At 34.1% G+C, this 20,797-nt stretch overlaps 1 protein-coding gene and 1 long non-coding RNA gene across 18 annotated transcripts in view; one reads left to right on the top strand and one right to left on the bottom strand.

The window, feature by feature from the left end:
* SYT1 (synaptotagmin 1) overlaps positions 1-20,797 on the bottom strand; it is a 588,027-nt gene that overhangs the window by 383,036 nt on the left and 184,194 nt on the right. The gene's annotated exons all lie outside the window — the stretch shown is intronic.
* Positions 1-20,797, top strand: part of LOC105369863 (uncharacterized) — a 197,856-nt gene that overhangs the window by 33,907 nt on the left and 143,152 nt on the right. The window lies entirely within an intron of this gene.

Genomic DNA, 20,797 nt, shown 5'->3' with positions numbered 1-20,797 from the left:
GTAAGCTATACTGATCTCTGGTATCATTATTTATGATATGTTGAGTTTTTAAATTTGATTTGCTAGATCATAAAAGGACATTAGGAAGAAATGAGAAGGAAGTTAAAGAAATATCAAAATTTTTCCCACATGGATCTCATGATGTTGTCCAGGCTGCTCATGAACTCCTGAGTTCAAACAATTCTCCTGGCTCGGCCTCCCAAAGTGCTGGGATTACAGGCATGAGCTACCATGCCCGGCAGGTTACTTCTCCCTGTTTCTTTTCTCTTTTCTGTACCAATGTACTGATTATGGAAAATGTTTGGAATAGAGTAGGAGGAAAATCAGTTGTCCATATGTGATAAACTCATTTAAACAGAGGGCTCTTTTTCCTATGAAACTTTTATTTGTTGGGTGATATCTGTAAGAATTTTAACAAAGGAATTAATATAAGCAGAAAACACTTCCAGAGCATAACTATTATTCTTGAGCTCTGAAAGAATTTATCCACTTCGCATATGTGAACAGTTTATCCCCAGAGTATTTTTTCAACGTTCATCAGCAAAGGATTAGGCCCAATTATAATTAATTCTTTAATAATGAAATTGATACCGTTTTCAAGTATTTAGACTAGACACTAGATTAGAGTACACTATAAAATATGCTTCTGAATAATTATGACCTAATTAATTATTTTAGACAGCTTTTTAAAGTTTAATTTACTAATTGGAATCTCCAAAATTGAAAGCAGGAAATAGAGCTGTCTAGCCCACCAGAGGCTTCATTCCATTTGGCACAAAACCAGATTGAAAGTTGACTTAATTTGTGCTGTTTTGCATGGTTAGGTTTGACAAGTGTGTTTGGGTTTCATAAACTACTCAAAGTTCATTTTTGGCCTGAATTTTTTGCAACTTCAACCCAAATTGATAAGATTGTAATCCAAAGCATGGTAGGAGCTCTGGAAATAATATCTATTGCTGTCACCTTCTTTAAGGCTTGTCTCATGGGTGTGTCTTCGTGGAAATAAAAATGTAGAGGTGATATTGCCAAATGATTATATTCAACCCTGAAACGCAGCAGCACATATATGTTCTACAACAATTTCTACTTGATCTGTTGGTCTTGAACAAATATATTCTGAGTCTTTATTTCTAGCCCATGGCAGCTTGATCCTAGGGGAGGATGTATGCCAGGATAAAGAAGTGGGGAAATTTAAGTGAATCTTTAAAGTCCAGGACCTGTGTCCATATCCCGACTTCTCTCATCTGCCTTTCTACACCACACAGCAAAAAAGTACAGTTGGTATTGATGTTTTACCTGGAATCCCCTACACCTCTGCATTACAAGGTCTCCTTACAAACTAATTGCTTGGCCTCACTTGCATTAGTTACTTGTTTCAAAGTTAATGTAAAAGTTTTTGGAAAGCTATGGTTTTTATATTATCTTAGCATTTGAAGAAATTTTTCTCTAAGGAACTCCAAGTAAAGCATCTTAAATGTTAAAAAAAGAAAAGCCTCTTGAAACTAACTGACTCTAGAAAATGACTATATTTATATAGATATAGTTTCCTACTACTTTTAATATTTAAATGGCATTGATATACATACCTTCAAATTCCAATTCCACAGTTCCATGACTATTTTTCTGCTCAATATAGAGAGCAGAACTTAAAGTCAACTGTAGGAGTTAAATACCCATAAAGACTGTATTTTTGTACAATGGACATTTGAAAAAAATAGATAGGTATGAGCTATATGATTTTGATAAGGGAAAACTACCTTTCACCAAAATCTATAACATTAGGCTCTTCTTGACATTTCAACAAATTAAAAGAAACACTTTTGAAAAAGCATGTCTATTTTGTAAGCTGGGGGAGAATCTCACAGTGGGACAAGCCAACTGGCTTGTTGTGGCAGGAAGGTTTTCCCATCATTTTGATCTATGATCCCAAAGCACACTGCGTGGAGGCAATTATAGTAACACTGCATCAAGGCAATGTATAGTAACATTCATGTAATGTGTATTTCCAACCTATCCCTGAAAATTTTAAGGTTTTATTCAGGTCTCAGAGACATATGAATGCAGATTCAGTAGCCCATATTAATACATGTTAGGACACTAAATGGAGATCAAGTTGGAAAATGCAATTAGTTTAAGCTAATGGATTATGCAAGGGGAACCAACTAGACCAAAAGCAACTGGATAATCATCAGTTATAACAAGGAAGTGAAAATCTGTCTCACCTTTCCCCATTTCTGTTTTTTTAAGCATCTTTGATGTGCCAGGCATTGTATTAGCTATGTTACCAATATTATTTCATTTATTTCTAATTAGGCACTAATTATTAATTATCCCCATTTGTAAATTGAATATTAGATTAAGTATAATTCACAATATTTACTGCAAGGTAATGCCATTTTGCTCATAGCTTCTGCTCACTGACTCTGCTCTCTCTCCCCAGATGATGATATGGCCTCCATGTCACTGAGTTGTTTTTTTTTTTAATTTTTTTTTTCAAACCAAGAGATGTGATGCTTAATGTTAATCAGAGGCATAAAAATTGTAAGTTTAAGATTTTCTGAAGTCATCCTGTACCTCTGGCTTATAAAAGTTCGGTGTTGCAGAAAGAATTCAGGTTTATAGGTTTGCTTATATGTCCAGTTCATAGGCAGCTGTGAGCCCCCACAAGGACTCTGGGGATCAAGGGAAGCTACTCTGATATATGCTACTATCCTATGTGGTGTTTACCCTGCTTCTGGTAAAATGTATTCTTTGCTAATTAAATTGGGAGCATAATTTTGCCATGTTTGGATAAGTGTGTTTGTGAGCATGTGTCAAATGTGTGGTCTCTGCATTTGTGTGGGTGGATGATATGTGTGTAGTGTAGACTGTGTGTGCATGTCTTTTTGTGTGTGCATGTGTATTTGTGTTTGTGTATGTTCATGCATGTGGGTATATATGTGTGTGGTCTTTTCTGTCTGACTCATAATTCAATTCATTTATATCTTTTTCCCATCTTGTGAATAATTACTTTGTTCTTTTGTAATTTTTTTCACTCTATCTAGGGCACTAACTTTCCTCTTCCCTTCCCCCCCGTAATTTTTAATCTTTTAAAATTTGCTGCTCATTACCAATTAAGCTATAAGATAGTGAAAAGAAGGAAAACTTCAAACCAATTCACACAGTATCTTCTGTGCGCATAAGTGCACAAAAAATAATGATAAAATGAGAAATTGTATCATTTTGACTTTCCTATAGATCTCAACAAATAGTGGGAGCACATTTTGGTCAGATTTCATTAAGAATTTGTGAAGTGATTATGATGGGTTTCAAGATAATATAATAAATATTCAAAATCATCCTTGACTTTTTTTTTCCTCAAGATTTTTTTATTTTCCTCTTTATCATCTTGCCTGCAGTGACTGCTAACTGTTGTTACTGGGATAGATTATTTTTCAGTAGAGAGGAAGAAAATGAGAATATCAGCTTTATTTGATATTCAAATGTATGGCCAGATTTGAGATAAGCAGACAAGAAAGCATCCTCTGATATGCATGGCACCTTTGTGCCCCTCTCCTCCCCTCCCCTCCACTCCTCTCTTTTGGGACAGAGTCTCGCTCAGTCGCCCAGGCTGGAATGCAGTGGCACACTAAAGGCTCACTGCAGCCTATATCCTTCACCTCCCGGACTCAAGCGACCCTCCCACTTCAGCTTCCCTAGTATCTGGGACTACAGGTGTGTGCTATAATGCCGGCTATTTTTGTTGTTGTTTGTTTTTATTTTTGTGAAGACGGGTTTTCACCATGTTGCCCAGGCTGATCTCAAACTCCTGGGCTGAAGCGATTCACCCACCTCAGCCTCCCAAAGTGCTGGGATCACAGGCACAAGCCACTACGCTGGCCTCCCTTAAGTTTCTAATTGGAATGTGTGAAGAATGGTAGAGTGGCAGCGTGCAAACCCTTAGAGCCCTAGAAATGAGAAGGAAAGGTTTCCTTTTCTTTCTTTCTTTCTTTCTTTCTTTCTTTCTTTCTTTCTTTCTTTCTTTCTTTCTTTCTTTCTTTCTTTCTCTCTATTTTTTTGTCTAAAGAGTGGGGCTGAGGGAATAAGAGAAACTAAACTAATGCTACAGAGTACTGGAGCAGGAGAGAGAAGAGTAGATGGGGTGTGTTGTGTGTGTATGTGTGTGTGTGTGTGTTTGGGGTGCAGAATAGTTAGTTGTTATTGGAAGTGCTGGTGTAAATTAGCATAATCTGTTTCATAGACCAAAAAGAAAAATCATACCCCCCAACACACACACATTTATGGTGGGGTTTACTTTATTCAGGAATATCTTAATATGGTAATATGTAGGTGGTAGGTAAAATCCCTTAGTCTTCTCATTTCACATATTATATTATAAAAACATATAAAAGAGTTTGTTTATAAAATTCATTAGCTAAGGAGTAAGCAAAAGTTTTATCTTCACATATATAAAAGTGGAAATATTTTAGTAATAAGAAAAATAGACTTTGAAATTAGTGGAAAGAGAAACATTTAGAAACTGATTTCTAGTCTTCTACAAAACTATCTACCCCATCTCCACTGTGAATTATTCCTCTGAAATATTCATATTCTCAAAATAAATTTCTTTGCTGAAAGTAAACAATAGATATTATGTGAAATACTATGTGATAAGTGAAATCATTACACTCTTATTCACATCTTGGGCCAGGCTTTCTTCTTTCCTTCCTTCCTTACTCCCTCTTTCCTTTCTCCTTCAGTCTTTTCTTCCCTGTCTCTCTCATTCCTACATTCCCTGTCTTCTTCACTCCCTTTCTTCATTCCTCATTTCTTTAAACATTCTCTGAGTGTAGCACACAGCACTAACAGAAGGTCTGGTACTGTTGCATGGCTGAATAGATTCATCTACTTGTGCACTAAGCTTTATGCTCCAAGTGATGGACTGTTCTCCGGAATGGTAGGGATAAGGAGGGGGCTCATTTTGCTCATGTCCAGTAGAGAAGATGGATACTGAAGCAGAGGCATGTCCTAGGTGCTTTGAGAATACAGAAGAGAGGGAGAAACCAATCTCGCCTAGGAGGAGTTAGGTCAGGAAAAGTGAGGTCAGACTCCTGGGTCAAAGCTCTGATATTTGAAAGAAATGATACTTTTTGGAAGGGTGAGTGGGTTTGCTTTGGTGTTCCCAAGGGGGATAGAGGAGGGTAGTGTACCTGTTACTGTATTTGTTTTATTATTTTTCCCTATTGAATCCAACAACTTTTTTACTTATTTTCTTTACCCAATTCCCATTTCAGAGCCCTAAATTATTTCAGAGAATTTGATGCCATTGGGTTTTGGAAATACTGGTGATAAGGCAGAAATGTACTTATTACCCATTATAATATTATCTTATTTGTAATTCTATAAGGTTCTCCTTCCCCCTCCTCCACTTATGTGTAAATGAACATTATGCTTTGGTTTACAAGCAGACATAGGGACAGACTGCACAGTGGAATGTCTTTGAAAGGCAGAGATGCCACGGGCTGGGATCCTGGGAGGAGAGAGCAGGAAATAGCAGCTATGTAAGTATTTCCTACATAGTTTTCAGGGGCAGAGCAGCTGGGTCTCAAAAACATTATTATGCTTTTGCTACAGGCAACTATTTTCTGGGTAAACATAATCCCACAAACTCTTCAAGGGCATCAACAGACAAGTTCTCCAGCTGCCTTCTCCCCTGATAAAATAGAAGCATAAACTAGTAATGGTAGAAAAGAAGACATTTTTGCAAATGATGCTAACTTAACAAAGGGTCATATTTCAGCACAAGGAAATTCATACCCCATTTCTGATCTAAAGCCTCAAGATGGTCTCACAAAGATTAAGGTGAAATGCAAAATATAGTTATCAGTTTTGTGAGGTTAAAGGAGGTGGCATATGTGAAACTGCTATGTAAACCGTGACGTGCTCTGCAAACCCAAATGATATTACCATCATTTTTAATAAGTAGAAGTCAACCACAATTAGAAAGATAGAAGTAATCATTCTTGTCTTGGACAAGTCACTTAACTTCTCAGAGTCTTTGTTTCTTTATCTGTAAATGGTTTAATGATACCTACCTTACAGAGTTGTCAATATTATAGATAGCATGAAAGTTGCTAAGCACAGATCTTGGCAGATGGTAGGCATTCGATAAATGGTAGTTATTTTTATTATGATTATAAAAGAACATTTCTAACCATTCATCATTTTAGGAAAATCTCACAGAAGTGATTCTTTTAAATTGTACTAACAAAATAAGTACTTCCAATCCAAGCCATCTCACATTCCGTGTGTTCAAAAATATCAGAAAACACCTGTGACTTTATATTTCAAGTTTCAGTCACCATGGGGAATTTTTAAGAATGAAGTTTAAACTTTTAAAGAATAAGAAGTGCATTGGAATGTCTGAAAGAATAAAAGAAGCAGGAGAACAAAAAAGAATAACAGAGAAAACACAACCCTTTTATGGCAACAGCCTAGGACAAGTGGATGATTTTCAGAATGATAATAAGCACTCACCACCCCATGGCTCAGGGCTGCTCTAACTTCATGCACAGTGGGGAACCTTCTAGGCTTTTCAATATCAAATTGTACATGCAAGTTATTTGTAACAGAACATTGAAAAGTCAATGAAGGCAAACCTGGTAGGCAGCTACTGTCAGAAAACATCTGAATCAATAGGACACTCTCAGAATTGTCTTTCCCAAGCAAAACACAAAACTGTATTAACCAAAAGCATGACAGCACTGTGAAATTTCCTCACTGCAATAACTTAAAGCTACATAGACCTAGGGAAGCTGGCTTTAGTGCCTCACCCAACAGGTCAGAAAATAACAACAAAATGTCATTATGGATCATGTTATTGAGCAGCCTTGAGGGAGATGATAACTCTGATCAAAATGCAAAGTCATACACTTAAAATCTTTAATCATGCCTATAATGCAAGAACATTAAAATAAGCTAGCATAAGCTCATAAAAGGATTCTTTTTTAAAAAAATTATCTTTTTCTTCTCCTTCGCTTGTTCTATTACTAAGGCTTCTACAGAATGGTAGATTAAGCAGAAAAAAGTAGCAAGAATGAAAACATAAAAACATTTGTTTTCCACTGCTAAGAGATAAACTTCAAACACTTTAATTTAACCTTCATGATCTCATTACAGCTTCAACTTTAACCAATCATCCCATGTGCTTAACTAAATTCTTTACTAATTAAAATGGAAAACCAGCATGGAAGGAAGTCATGTAAGGCCAAGATGGAATGCCCTTTCCTTTGCAAAGCTTTTCAGGCACTGTTAAGCTATGTCTACCTGCTGGCATCCAAAGAACTTCTAATCTTCATACTATTATATTTTAATTAGTTAAAAATGCCCATCCATTCCAGTATAATATAAATTTTTCCAGGGTGGAGACTGTCCCATTCATTTTTGTGGCCCAGCACCATTCACAACATGTAGGGGAAGTGTGAGGTGACAGAGCAGCAGCCTTGTATCTAGAAGTCCTGTTCTCAAATGCCAACTCTGCCAGTTATTAACTGAGAAAGTCACTTAACCTTTCTGATCCTCTCCTTCCTCATTTGTAAAATGGTGATGATGTCTACTTTTCAGTGTGAGGATTAGAGGATAATGCTGTGTATTATAGGATATATAATATGTGTATATGAGCGTGTCTCTGGCATTGATAAATGCCAGCTAAAAAATTATTGGTTAGCACATAAGGAAAACTGCTGAAAATACTAAAAACTGTATAGATTATTTCCTTCTTATTGACTTAAGGTTCAGACACCAATTCTTGAACAAGAATATTCCATAATACGCTGATTAGAAGTTAAATGGTAGTAGTAGAAAACTTGATGGCTATAAATTTGCATTCTTATTTAGAATCAATGCTCCCTTCCCTATTATTCTATTTAATTTTAGAGAAATGGCAATTTTTAAATACCCTAACTTCACGAATCTTCTGAAGAACAGTCAATGTATCAAAACAGATAATCAAATGAAGACAGGCTAATTCCAGCCTGAGTAGTTAAAATGTGGCATATTTATAACTCATAAATCCTAAATTATCTTAAGCCCATCTATTTTTTTTTGCTGATTGCCTAAACTGAACTAGTTTTCCATGATTAATTTTAGGGCTTATGATATAAAAAGAGAGATGTTCTAAAAATCATGAACTCATTGCATTTCTATATTTGCATCTTATCTTTCCATCAAAGAATTGGCAAAAAGATTTCATTTTGGACAACTCCATTACTCAATAAATCATCAGATAAATGGATAAACAAAATGTGATATATACATACAATGGAATATTATTCAGCCTTAGGAAGAAAATTTTGACACATGCTACAATAAGGATAAACCTTGACAATATACAAAATAACCTAGTTACAAAAGGAAAAATACTGTTTAATTCCACTTATATGACGTAGTTAGAATAGTCAGTTTCATCAAGACTGAAGGTAAAATAGTGATGGCCAGGGGCTGCAGGGAGGGGGAATGGGGAGTTGCTGTTTAATATGTACGGAGTTTCACTTTGGGAAGATGAAAAAATTCTGAGGGTGGCTGATGCTGATGATCAAACAACAGTGTGAATGTACTTAATACCACTGAGCTGTATACTTTCAAATGGTTAAAATGGTAAATTTGATGTTATATATATTTTACCACAATTAAAAAAATGGCTAAAGATACAGCTCTTGAAAATAAAAGCTTTTTGTTACAGGGACGTAGGTTTTGTTTGGGGACGTGGATAACTTTTCTGAAAAAAAGTAAGGGAACAGAGAACTTTTAGTAAAGTTACTGCTATGATAGAGCTGGATAAACAAGTTGTCACTTTGGTTCAACCAGCATTGAGCACCTTCGCTGTGTCAGGTTCTGAGATAGGAGGATGCTCTGCCTACCACACTTGTGGAGCTCACTCTCTTATGCAAAGAGAAATTCATCAGATATTATTTCAGTGTAAGCCCATGAAACAGTTTGCATAATGTCTAGGAGCACAGGTTTTAGCATTACACAGACTTTAGTCTGCATCTGGCTCAAAATATATAAGCTAGTTATTTTGAGCAAGTTGGTTTGCCTTTCAGAATCTGTCTCCTCATTTATGAAATATAGATATGAAAATGCACTTCACAGGAATGAAATGACATGGGAAGCATGCAGCAGGGAGTAAGTGTTCAGTTACCAACATCCACTGTTTCCATAAGCCCTGAGGCAGAGGGATGGGCTATCTGGGGCTGTCTAACAGTAGCCTGGTATAACTGGTTACAAAGGTCTGGCCTGGCCTTACCAAGCCACTTTCATAATTGTTGATGCCAGCCCACAACAAGTACAGCATTTGTTTGATCATTGTGCATGGAGTTATTACTGAAAACATTTTAGTTATATTTATATCCAGAGTTATGATAAAAAAATTGAAAATTGAAAACTTGATTATTTTCTTGTTTTGGGTGGCCAGGTATAAGGAATGTTATAACTAACACAAATAACGATTTCTTTCATATAGAGGTAACTCTTAAAATTTACTTTATGAGTGGATGGTTTTACATTTGAGGTATTGAAAAGAATTAAAATTAAAATATAGGTAAACAATATTATATAATCATGTATTTTACATTTACTTTTACATTTTAGAAAAAATGAAGCAGTTATCTCTAGCTTATTACATCTTGATATGGTTTGGTTGTGTCCCCACCCAAATTTCATCTTGAATTGTAGCTCCCATAATTCCCACCTGTTGTGGGAGAGACCCAATGGGAGGTCATTGAATTATGGGGGCGTCTTTCCCATGCTGTTCTCGTGACAGTGAATAAGTCTCATGAGATCTGATGGTTTTATAAAAAGGAGTTCCTCTGCACGTGCTCCCTTGCCTGCTGCCATGTAAGATGTGCCTTTGACCCCCATTCACCTTCTGGCATGATTGTGAGGCCTCCCCAGCTATGTGGAACTGTGAGTCAATTAAACCTCTTTCCTTTATAAATTACCCAGTCTTGGGTATGTCTTTATTAGCAGTGTGAGAACAGACTAATACATACCTCATTAACAAATCTTCTATCACAAGCTTTGCAAGACCCACTGGGAAAATGTGTATGTATTAAAATAAAGAAACTATAGGCTCCTAAGTATAGTATTGAAGAAAATGTATCACTTCAAGAGCAGTGCAGGGGATGCTGCATTTAAGGCTGAATTCCCACCTATCCCAGTTCCTGTCTCCAAATATCTTCACCCATACTATCTATACATGTATCACTCCAGGACCCCACACTGCCAGAAATTCCTTAAGTTATTTGTTTATTTAAATTAACAATTGTGGTGTGGGGGTCGGGAAGTGAGAAGCAGAGGGGATGCAAGATGCAGGGCTGGTGTGGACACTTTGGCCCAATTATTTTTTCTTAGACATTTCCCCATACCAGCTGTACTGAGTCATTTTGATCAAGAGATAAGTTGGGTTAGAAAATTGGAAACCAAAACCACTTTAAAGAAAAGGCAGCTAGAGAATATCAGTTGGGAAACAGCATTACCTCAGGAAGAAAACAAAGGTGACAAAGAGAGAGAAGGCTGTGTGAAAAGCTGGCTTTAGTTATTTTTCACATATTGGGCAGGGTCAACTGAGTATCAGGAAAAATGGAGAAACATGTTTTTCCTTGTGTCCCTCTCACTCACACAGTCACCATAACCAATGCTAAAAATATTGTCATTTAGCATAAGCTGTGGGTTTTCACAGGTTTTTTTGTGTGGCCACTGTCGATAAATATCCATCTTATAAAATGGAAAGAAAACATCTTAAAAGGAATTTTGTTATATAACTCATTCATAAGTTGGGGACTGCTTGTATTGCTTCCATTCTTTTAGCTGTCTCATTTAATGACAAATCTGGCTTTGCCTTTCAAAAAAACACACTAATAATTGTTCACTTCTTAAAATGGGAACAATGGATATATCCATAAATATACAATTGTCCAAACCCATTTCTTTCTGGAATTATGTTACTAGGCATAATTCAAATAATTATTTTGTTGCATTCTGTAATAAAATGGTATTTATTATAAAGGTTGTGACATATGTAATGCTCATGAGCTTGTCCAACCTGCCTTATTTTGTTGTTGTTGTTTTTATTTTGTTTTGTTTCAGGCTTTTAGCAGCCTGAAGCCATAATTTTTGGTTTCTGTGTCTAATTGTAAGCAGGAAGGAGGGATGAGGAAGGGGTTTTACTGGCCCAACCAGAAACAGAAACTAAGAACCCATGACTGTACTCTCTCCCTTGGACACCCCTGCATGGTGAGTCTAAGACATAGAGGGTATTAAAAACATTTTTACCTTGTGCAAAATTAGAAAAAAAATTTTAAAGTACAAAAGAGAAAGAACATCTAAGACTAACCTTCACAGCTCAAATAGTAAATGCCTAAAAAAAATATATTACTTCCTAGGAGATGTTATAGCAAATTGTGTCAATGCCACATGCAAATATAAAATGGATAAGCAAAAATCCTGAGCAACTTGCAAAACTACTGCTAAGAATTATTTCTTATAATATATTTCAGACTATTGAAAAATTGTATAATATCATTTGGGGGGGGTCATATGAGTTAGAAACCAATGTATTTTGAGCTTTTGTTTAGAGACATTTTCCTTAGTCTGAAACATTTTGTACAAATTCATGAACATAGGCTTTGCCAGGATTCCTTTGAAAATGGAAAACAAAAACAATCACAGGATTAAGCAATTCATATTAACCATAAGAACAGAGGATATAGATTGCTCAAATGTACAATGGAGCATATGCTGAACCAGATTTTTCATCTTTCAGAATAGAAAAGAAATAAAATTGTCAGTATTTGTAATGATTCAATTCCAAGGAAAGGAGGAAAATGCTAAGATACTTATTATGAATTACTTTCTGCTGAAACAGGAATAGTTATTACTAAGACTGGGATATACTCATCTTTAGAGGCATAACAAGATTTTACATTGAAAGGAGAAGTGGTGTTAGGATTGATAGCCCATGTCAGACTGTAAAGGGATTTTTATGGTGTTTGCAAAAGAATGACTCAAACAACAAAACCACTTAAAATGGTGAATATGAAAATTTTCATTTGAAGATAATTAATTGAGGTTTTAAAATGAGGAGAAACAGTATTCTGTATCATGAGGGAAAAATGCAGCAAAATAAGCAACTTTGTCAACTGAGATTTCTTTGGTAAAAGAATAATGCTGTGATTTCAATTTCAGACATCACATACAAAATTTTATTATTTTTTAAAATGAGAGTTGCCATGTAATGGCATCATACTGCCCTTAACTTTAAAATGGTGCATGTAATAACAATGTGTGGGATGTAATTTATTTCTGGACATCTGTTCAGTCTAGAGTTTGGTTAGGTCTATTTTCTCTGGAGGAAGTGGTCCCCTTTGTTATTACAAAGAAAATAATTTCATGATAAGATAGAAAGCATTTTTGCTACCCTTCACATCGTGATGCATACTGATTCAGCCTACTTCTAGGGCCACGAAGACTGTCAAAATGTCTCAAGCTTTACTCTCCACCTTTCTGGAAGTGAGTCATGCTATTGAGATTGTCTAATTTCTGTGTTTGCTTTAAGAAGGAAGAGGCCTTCAAGGAGAGGGCTCCTGATGGACTCCTCCCAAAGCAAGCCTGCATCCTACTCTATCAAATCGAAATTTCATCTTGTGTTAAAGATTTCCAACCAGACTTTTCTCCTTTTCTTTCTTCCCTCACACTTTCCCTTCCTCTTTATTCCATCTAGACTTCTATATACAGTTATGAATCACTCAACAACAGGGGTACATCCTGAGAAATGCATCATTAGGCAATTTTGTTGTTGCTGAACAGCATAGCATGTACTTATACTAACCTAGATGGTACAGTCTACCTCACACCTAGGCTGTATGGTTTAGCCTTTTGTTCTTGGGCTACAAACCTGTACATGTCACTGTACTGAATACTGTAGGCAATTATAACACATTGGTAAGTATCTGTGCATCTTAACAGAAAAGGTACAGTAAAAATCTGATATTATAATCTTAAGGTGTCACTGCTATATATGCAGTCCATCATTGACTGAAATTTGTTAGGTGGTACATGACTATGTTTTATAATTTAAAAGATGTCAATTTATAATAAATAAATAAATTTGAAAGAAAAGAATGCCCCTTTGATATTACTAAGATGTTTTAAATAACAAATATAACAACAATAATTTTTACTTATGTTACTATATTAATTTCTGTAATAAGCAGTTAATAAACATGTCATTATTCTCATATGAAACGTATAAAATAGGATTCATTTTCATTTTTATAGAAGAGGACATTGAGGCAGCTTATTTTGTTTTCCTGCTGACACACAGGTAGTAAGTGGCAGAAATAGCACTTGAATACAGTTTTTTATCCAGTGCAAACATTCTTAATTACAAAGGAGAATAATGCAACCCAAGGCAAAACCCTGGTGTAGCCAAGTAAATAAATCATAATGTTATAGCAGATCAAAACTAATAATTCATATAGCTAAATCATTTGATTTAAAGTCTTATTAACTTTGGACTTTACATGATTTCTTTAAAACTGTAAATGCTGGTTAAATAATTTCCACTTTATCTCTTTTGACTAGACAACTTACATATCAGAGTCATGAAAGATAATGTTTTTCAGAATAAAATAAAGACTAATATCAATGAGAGCTTACAAATCAAAGATTAATAAGAAGTTTTAGAAACAATGAACTGAATTCTATCAACTAATTATAATAGCTAACTTGAATACAGTAACTACAATCAACAAGACACTTATATAAACAAAGACATTGCCTATATTTGACTCATTTGAATATCACAATTACTCAATGGAGAAATCAAAACTCACAGAGGTCTAAAAAATTGTCCTACATCCCATAGTTAATAAGTGGTGGAGCTGGCATTTGAATATAGAGAATTTTCAAAGCCAGTACTATGCTATAATAAGATTATAAAAGACTCCTTTGTTAGTGTATCAAAAAATACTGTAAATCATGAAATATGGTTTAGATTTATCATGAATAATAATGATTGTGGGAAACCCATTTTACTCAATTTCCAGGGAAAGTGACAAAACACTGAATCATTTGACAAATAAAAACATAATTTAATCTGATCATGGTTAAACAGACGAGTAGCTTGAAAAGAAAATCTATGACTTATAGTCAATATAACTTTTATTCTCCTTATGAAGCAAACTTTTCTATATTTGTAATTACTAAAAATATAAACTACTTGATGACAGAGACTATACTTTATTTATTCCTATATCTAAAACACCTGGAACTATGTATACAGTGGGTAATCAATAGCAGCTGTTGAATAAAGAATGAAGGATAAAGGAATGAATTTCCAAAGTTGTACCAAAGTTTTTAAAGAAAATAAGTCCAGATAATGTAGCATGTATAAAAATCTAAGTATATATGGTGAATGTCCACTGTATTGTTATTTACAAACAAAATAAATATTGTTTTTCTCCTTTAGGTGAATGTTTATACTTATGGCTATAATCCATTTTGATTTGGGTTCTACTTTTCCTATCAAAAGATTGCTGTCTTTAATAATTAAATTCTCCTACCATGGTTTATTTTTAGCATCTGAAGGACAAATATGCATGATGCAATCTAATATTTATTGATGATAAGTAGAAAAGAAAAGTAACGTGTGCACATTAAGTATTTTGCATAGACATTCATATAGGAAGGTGAAATATGCCTTACTTTCACTAGTTGTCCCCGTTTAGTTGAGTCCTAACTTGAAAAGGAGAAATCAGACAGACCTGAGTTTAAATGGCAACTCTGCTGCATACTAAGTAAGCTAACCTTATAAACCTTTCAATCCACATTTTCATCATCTGCAAAACCACTATAACATCAGAAGAATTCTTTGAATAATTAAATGAAATTTAGTTCAATGCCTACTAAACAGCTGACACAAAACAAGAGCCCAATAAATGCTTCCTTTCCTTTCCCAACTCCCTTCCTTCTATATATGAACTCTCTTAGGCTTATGTGTGGGAACACAGATCAGGATTAAAGATAAATTATAAATTCAAGAAAAAGAGAATTTTTTTTCTGGATGATCATTATTGCCTAAAGCAAAAATCAACCAACAACTTTGGTTGTTTCAGAAACATGCCTTCATAAAATGATGCATGGTACTCCAAAAACAATTAAGGCAAATGTTCACAAAAACAACTTATTTTTACAATAATATAGTCTAAGTTTTATGTAATAATACTTATTGTTTGTTTAAAAATAAGTGTTGTTTATTTATATATAAATTTTAATTATTTTTAATTAAAAATCAATATATTTTATTGGTGATATATATTTTAAATAATTGTCAATATTATAAAATAATTTTAATTAAAGTTAATATGCATTATTTTATACATAAGAATTTATATAATATATATAAGAATTTTTTTAAATTTTATTATTATTGTACTTTAAGTTTTGGGGTGCGTGTGCACAATGTGCAGGTTTGTTACATATGTATACATGTGCCGTGTTGGTGTGCTGCACCCATTAACTCGTCATTTAGCATTAGGTATATCTCCTAACGCTATCCCTCCCTGCTCCCCCCACCCCACAACAGTCCTCGGTGTGTGATGTTCACCCTCCTGTGTCCATGTGTTCTCATTGTTCAATTCCCACCTATGAGTGAGAACATGCGGTATTTGGTTTTTTATCCTTGCGATAGTTTGCTGAGAATGATGGTTTCCAGCTTCATCTATGTCCCTACAAAGGACATGAACTCATCATTTTTTATGGCTGCATAGTATTCCATGGTGTATGTGTGCCACATTTTCTTAATCCAGTCTATCATTGTTGGACATTTGGGTTGGTTCCAAGTCTTTGCTATTGTGAATAGTGCCGCAATAAACATACATGTGCACATGTCTTTATAGCAGCATGATTTATAATCCTTTGGGTGTATACCCAGTAATGGTGTTGCTGGGTCAAATGGTATTTCTAGTTCTAGATCCCTGAGGAATCACCACACTGACTTCCATAAGGGTTGAACTAGTTTACAGTCCCACCAACAGTGTAGAAGTGTTCCTATTTCTCCACATCCTCTCCAGCACCTGTTGTTTCCTGACTTTTTAATGATTGCCATTCTAACTGGTGTGAGATGGTATCTCATTGTGGTTTTGATTTGCATTTCTCTGATGGCCAGTGATGATGAGCATTTTTTCATGTGTCTGTTGGCTGCATAAATGTCTTCTTTTGAGAAGCGTCTGTTCATATCCTTCACCCACTTTTTGATGGGGTTGTTTGTTTTTTTCTTGTAAATTTGTTTGAGTTCATTGTAGATTCTGGATATTAGCCCTTTGTCAGATGAGTAGATTGCAAAAATTTTCTCCCATTCTGTAGGCTGCCTATTCACTCTGATGGTAGTTTCTTTTGCTGTGCAGAAGCTCTTTAGTTTAATTAGATCCCATTTATCAATTTTGGCTTTTGTTGCCATTGCTTTTGGTGTTTTAGACATGAAGTCCTTGCCCATGCATATGTCCTGAATGGTATCGTCTAGGTTTTCTTCTAGGGTTTTTATGGTTTTAGGTCTAACATGTAAGTCTTTAATCCATCTTGAATTAATTTTTGTATAAGGTGTAAGGAAGGGATCCCATTTCAGCTTTCTACATATGGCTAGCCAGTTTTCCCAGCACCATTTATTAAATAGGGAATCCAACTTACAAGGGATGTGAAGGACCCCTTCAAGGAGAACTACAAACCACTGCTCAATGAAATAAAAGAGGATACAAACAAATGGAAGAGCATTCCATGCTCGTGGGTAGGAAGAATCAATATTGTGAAAATGGCCATACTGCCCAAGGTAATTTATAGATTCAATGCCATCCCCATCAAGCTACCAATGACTTTCTTCACAGAATTGGAAAAAACTATTTTAAAGTTCATATGGAACCAAAAAAGAGCCTGCATTGCCAAGTCAATCCTAAGCCAAAAGAACAAAGCTGGAGGCATCACGCTACCTGACTTCAAACTATACTACAAGGCTACAGTAACTGAAACAGCAGGGTACTGGTACCAAAACAAAGATATAGACCAATGGAACAGAACAGAGCCCTCAGAAATAATGCCGCATATCTACAGCTATCTGATCTTTGACAAACCTGACAAAAACAAGCAATGGGGAAAGGATAATATATATAAGAATTTTAAATTAAATATCACTATAGAGATCTTCATATACTTAATCCAATCTCAGAGAATCTTGGGAAGTATGCTGGGTAGACATTTTTCATTACCCAGATGAGAAAAGGGAGACTCATTGAGATAACTGCTTAAGTGTTGCTGATGGCAGATTGCTTTTATGTATTATTATTACATATTATTATTATCTAGTTGTTTTTTCACTGTGTAATCTTGAATGTCCTCACATTTTCCTATGGATTCGCTGCACATGAAAACTTAATGTGCATATGTTATTTTTCTTTACTACTTATCATTAATAAATATTAGGTGGAGATGGATTAAGCCAAGACTCAGATTACCTCTCTCTTTATACATATATAGTAGAGATATATATAAATATAAATAAATAAATACCTATATAAATGAGCTCTCTTTATACATACATAGTGGAGATACATATATATGTATATATATATTTATTTATAAAGGTTATACTGTGGAGATATATAACTTTTATAAACATCATTCTAATAAACTATATCAAAATACAATTTTAAACTACTAGAGATTAGACAAACAATAATTTACATAAATTTTCACTAGTGTTTTGGTTGAAAAAAGATTAAATTTGGAGAAGAGTTTTTTTTTAACAGTTCCGACACATGCATTTTTTAATAACAGCACTTTCAGTTAATATGGCAGATAGAAAAAAATGGTGGGTGGTTAATTAGCACAGATTTTTTTTTCAATTCTATCACTAGATATAAGAGCTTAGGCAAATGACTTGACCTATCAGGCCATATATAAATGATAATATTAGAGGAGGTAACCTCTATAAAATGAAAATATTAGAATAGGTGACCTCTAAATTTTCTCCTAGCTTTATGCCACTATTACACACACTCACAGGCTTATGCTTTTTTATTGCAGGACTTTATTACTTCTAATAGGGAAATATTGACTAAGTAAAACTTGTCAGGAGCATTTGCAGGTAACATTTGGGATATTTGCAAATAATATTTATTCTCTAATGAGCCACAAGATGTTTTATTGGTTAAAATCTGCCTTCCATTAGAATCACTCTTACTAAAAACTTCTTGCTATATTTGTTTTTTCAGGAAAGCAGTGTTGTTAATAGTTGTCACACTTTGAGTGAGTGTATCAACTCCCAGTTTTATTAAAGAGGCTTAGGAAATCTAGGATAATATGAAGAGTTTCTAACACGGATGTCTGAGCATCTGAATGATTTTTTAAACACACCCTCTTTATTATTAGTATCCAGTGTGATCAGAGTTTACAAGGAGGAGACTATGAAGTTCTTGAAAGTATTACTGAGCTTCAGCAATCAAAAGAAAGATGACTATAGTTGACACTTGAACAACACGGGTTTGAACTATGCAGGTCCACTTATTCACAGGTTTTCTTCTGCCTCTGCCACTGCTGAGACAGTAAAACCAACCAACCCCTCCTCTTCCTTCTCCTCCTCAGCCTAGTTAATGTGAAGATGAGGATGGAGACCTTTATGATGATCCACTTCCACTTAATGAATAGTAAATACATTTTCTCTTCCTTACAATTTTCTTAGTAATATTTTCTTCACTTTTCCTACTTTATTGTTAAGAAGAGTATATAATACACATAACATGAAAAATAAGAATTAATCAACTATTTATGTTATTGATAACATCCAGTCAACAGTAGGCTATTAGTAGTTAAGTTTTGGAGGAGTTAAAAGTTAACCATGGAATTTTAGGACTGTGTGGGAGTTGGTGATCAAGAGTCAACTGTATTTTAGAATACACTTTCCAGTGGTCTTTTATTTTTCTATTCTTATAAGAAAGCATCTTATATTTTTATCTTTTATATTTCTTAAGCACAAAAACCTTTTGTAAGCAATAAATGCAATGTGCTCTAAGCGTCTTTAGCAATATTATAGTAATATTTTAATCAATTATCAACTTGTTCTTAAGCTATGGATTTAAAAGCAAAATTGTAAGAGGTTTGTAGAGCTTTCCTGTGCTAAAAAGCTTTCATTTATAAAGTTTTGATTCCAATACAATTCATAAAACTCATTCATGGGCTAGAAACACATGCACAATCTATAGATAAAATGTCACTGTATTATCTATTATATTCATCTGATATCATGTTTTATTCCATGTATTGTCTAACACTAACTCACGAGCCTTTAGTGGCTAAGATATTTTAAGAACTCTTATGTTTTGACAATGTCATTTAAGTCAGAGTATTCCTCTTCACAATATCTGATAAAATTTTTAAAGGATAAATTATACTTTTTATTACAGTATAATAAGAAGAGTCTTTTTTTGCATGTAATTTATGAGTGATTTAGCATATAATTATTAAATAATAGGTAATTAAAATCTGAGATTAAAACCTGCTCCAAACCACATAAAAATGCATGAAAAGAGGCATAATTTCTTCTTTGGAAACATGTATGTTATTTTTTTCTAAGATTACTGCAAATGAACAGGAGATCTCATTACTTGAATGAGATGTCTCCGAGGTATGCTAGGCTAAATCCTATTTCAATACAATTATGAAAATTACAGTTCCAGTCAAATAACTTATATAGGTCACACCTGAACAATAGATCAAATAACTTATACATAAATCAGCGCAGAAAAGGAGTCATTGATGGCTTTTCACATGAAATTATACTCAGAGGGCCGAGAAATTGTGAGGGAGTGAAGTAGATATCACTTGGTTCTTGCATAAAGAGCTTATGTCAGTCCTGTCAGTTTAAAAAATTCAACCATTTTCCAATGAGTATTGTACAGAATTGAAATTATGTTTAGAAACAGAATTATATATATAAAAACAAAACTTTAAGACAGTCTAGTCTTTTAGATGTTGAAAAAGGTTTGTTTTGGCTGAATGATTTCATTGTCTATGTTAGGGTATTAAGATGATAAAAAATTTCTATGTCAAAAAGAAATTTCTCACTTATTTCATATCTTGTAACTCACGCAGATTTGCAGGTTTCAAAAATTGTTATATATGACAGAAAAATCTGATTCTTAAATTATCCCTGTACCCAGAACTATGTAAACATGCCCGTAACCTGCTCTGAATACTCAAAATAGACTTTCATACATTTAGAGTTAATTTTTTAAATCAAAGAGTAGTTTTTAAAAGTGTAAACATTTTGAATTATAAATTTTATAGATTTCTGTTTAAAATATATGGCCGTTCATAACTACAACAAAAAGTAAGTGGCAGAGTGCTTTGTGTGAAGTTGTAACATACATAACCTTCAGACAGGCAGGTAAAAGAAATGTGTTTTCTCTGCCTTTCTCACACCTCAAAAATAAATAAAATATATTTCAGATAAACTTCATTTATATCATCGTGATGATGATTAATTATACCCAATCATTCAAAGTTAAGATGTAATTTATGCATCAAAGTTCTTTGGGGCTAAAAAATGTTATTATGCAGGAATAATTTGTATATATCCTATAAAATTATTTAGAAATTTCTACTTTTTATATATCAAACTTACATTTTTTTCCATTGAACTTGACTCTAGTTTGATATGTACTAAGATATAGATGTTTCATTTTGTTAATTTATTATACTATGTTTTACTCTA

The sequence above is a fragment of the Homo sapiens genome, chromosome 12 (genome assembly GCF_000001405.40).
Source record: "Homo sapiens chromosome 12, GRCh38.p14 Primary Assembly".
NCBI classification, from domain to species: Eukaryota; Metazoa; Chordata; class Mammalia; order Primates; family Hominidae; genus Homo; species Homo sapiens.
The sequence above is the reverse complement of the archived record's forward strand: the minus strand, read 5'-3'. Positions and strand labels throughout refer to the sequence as shown.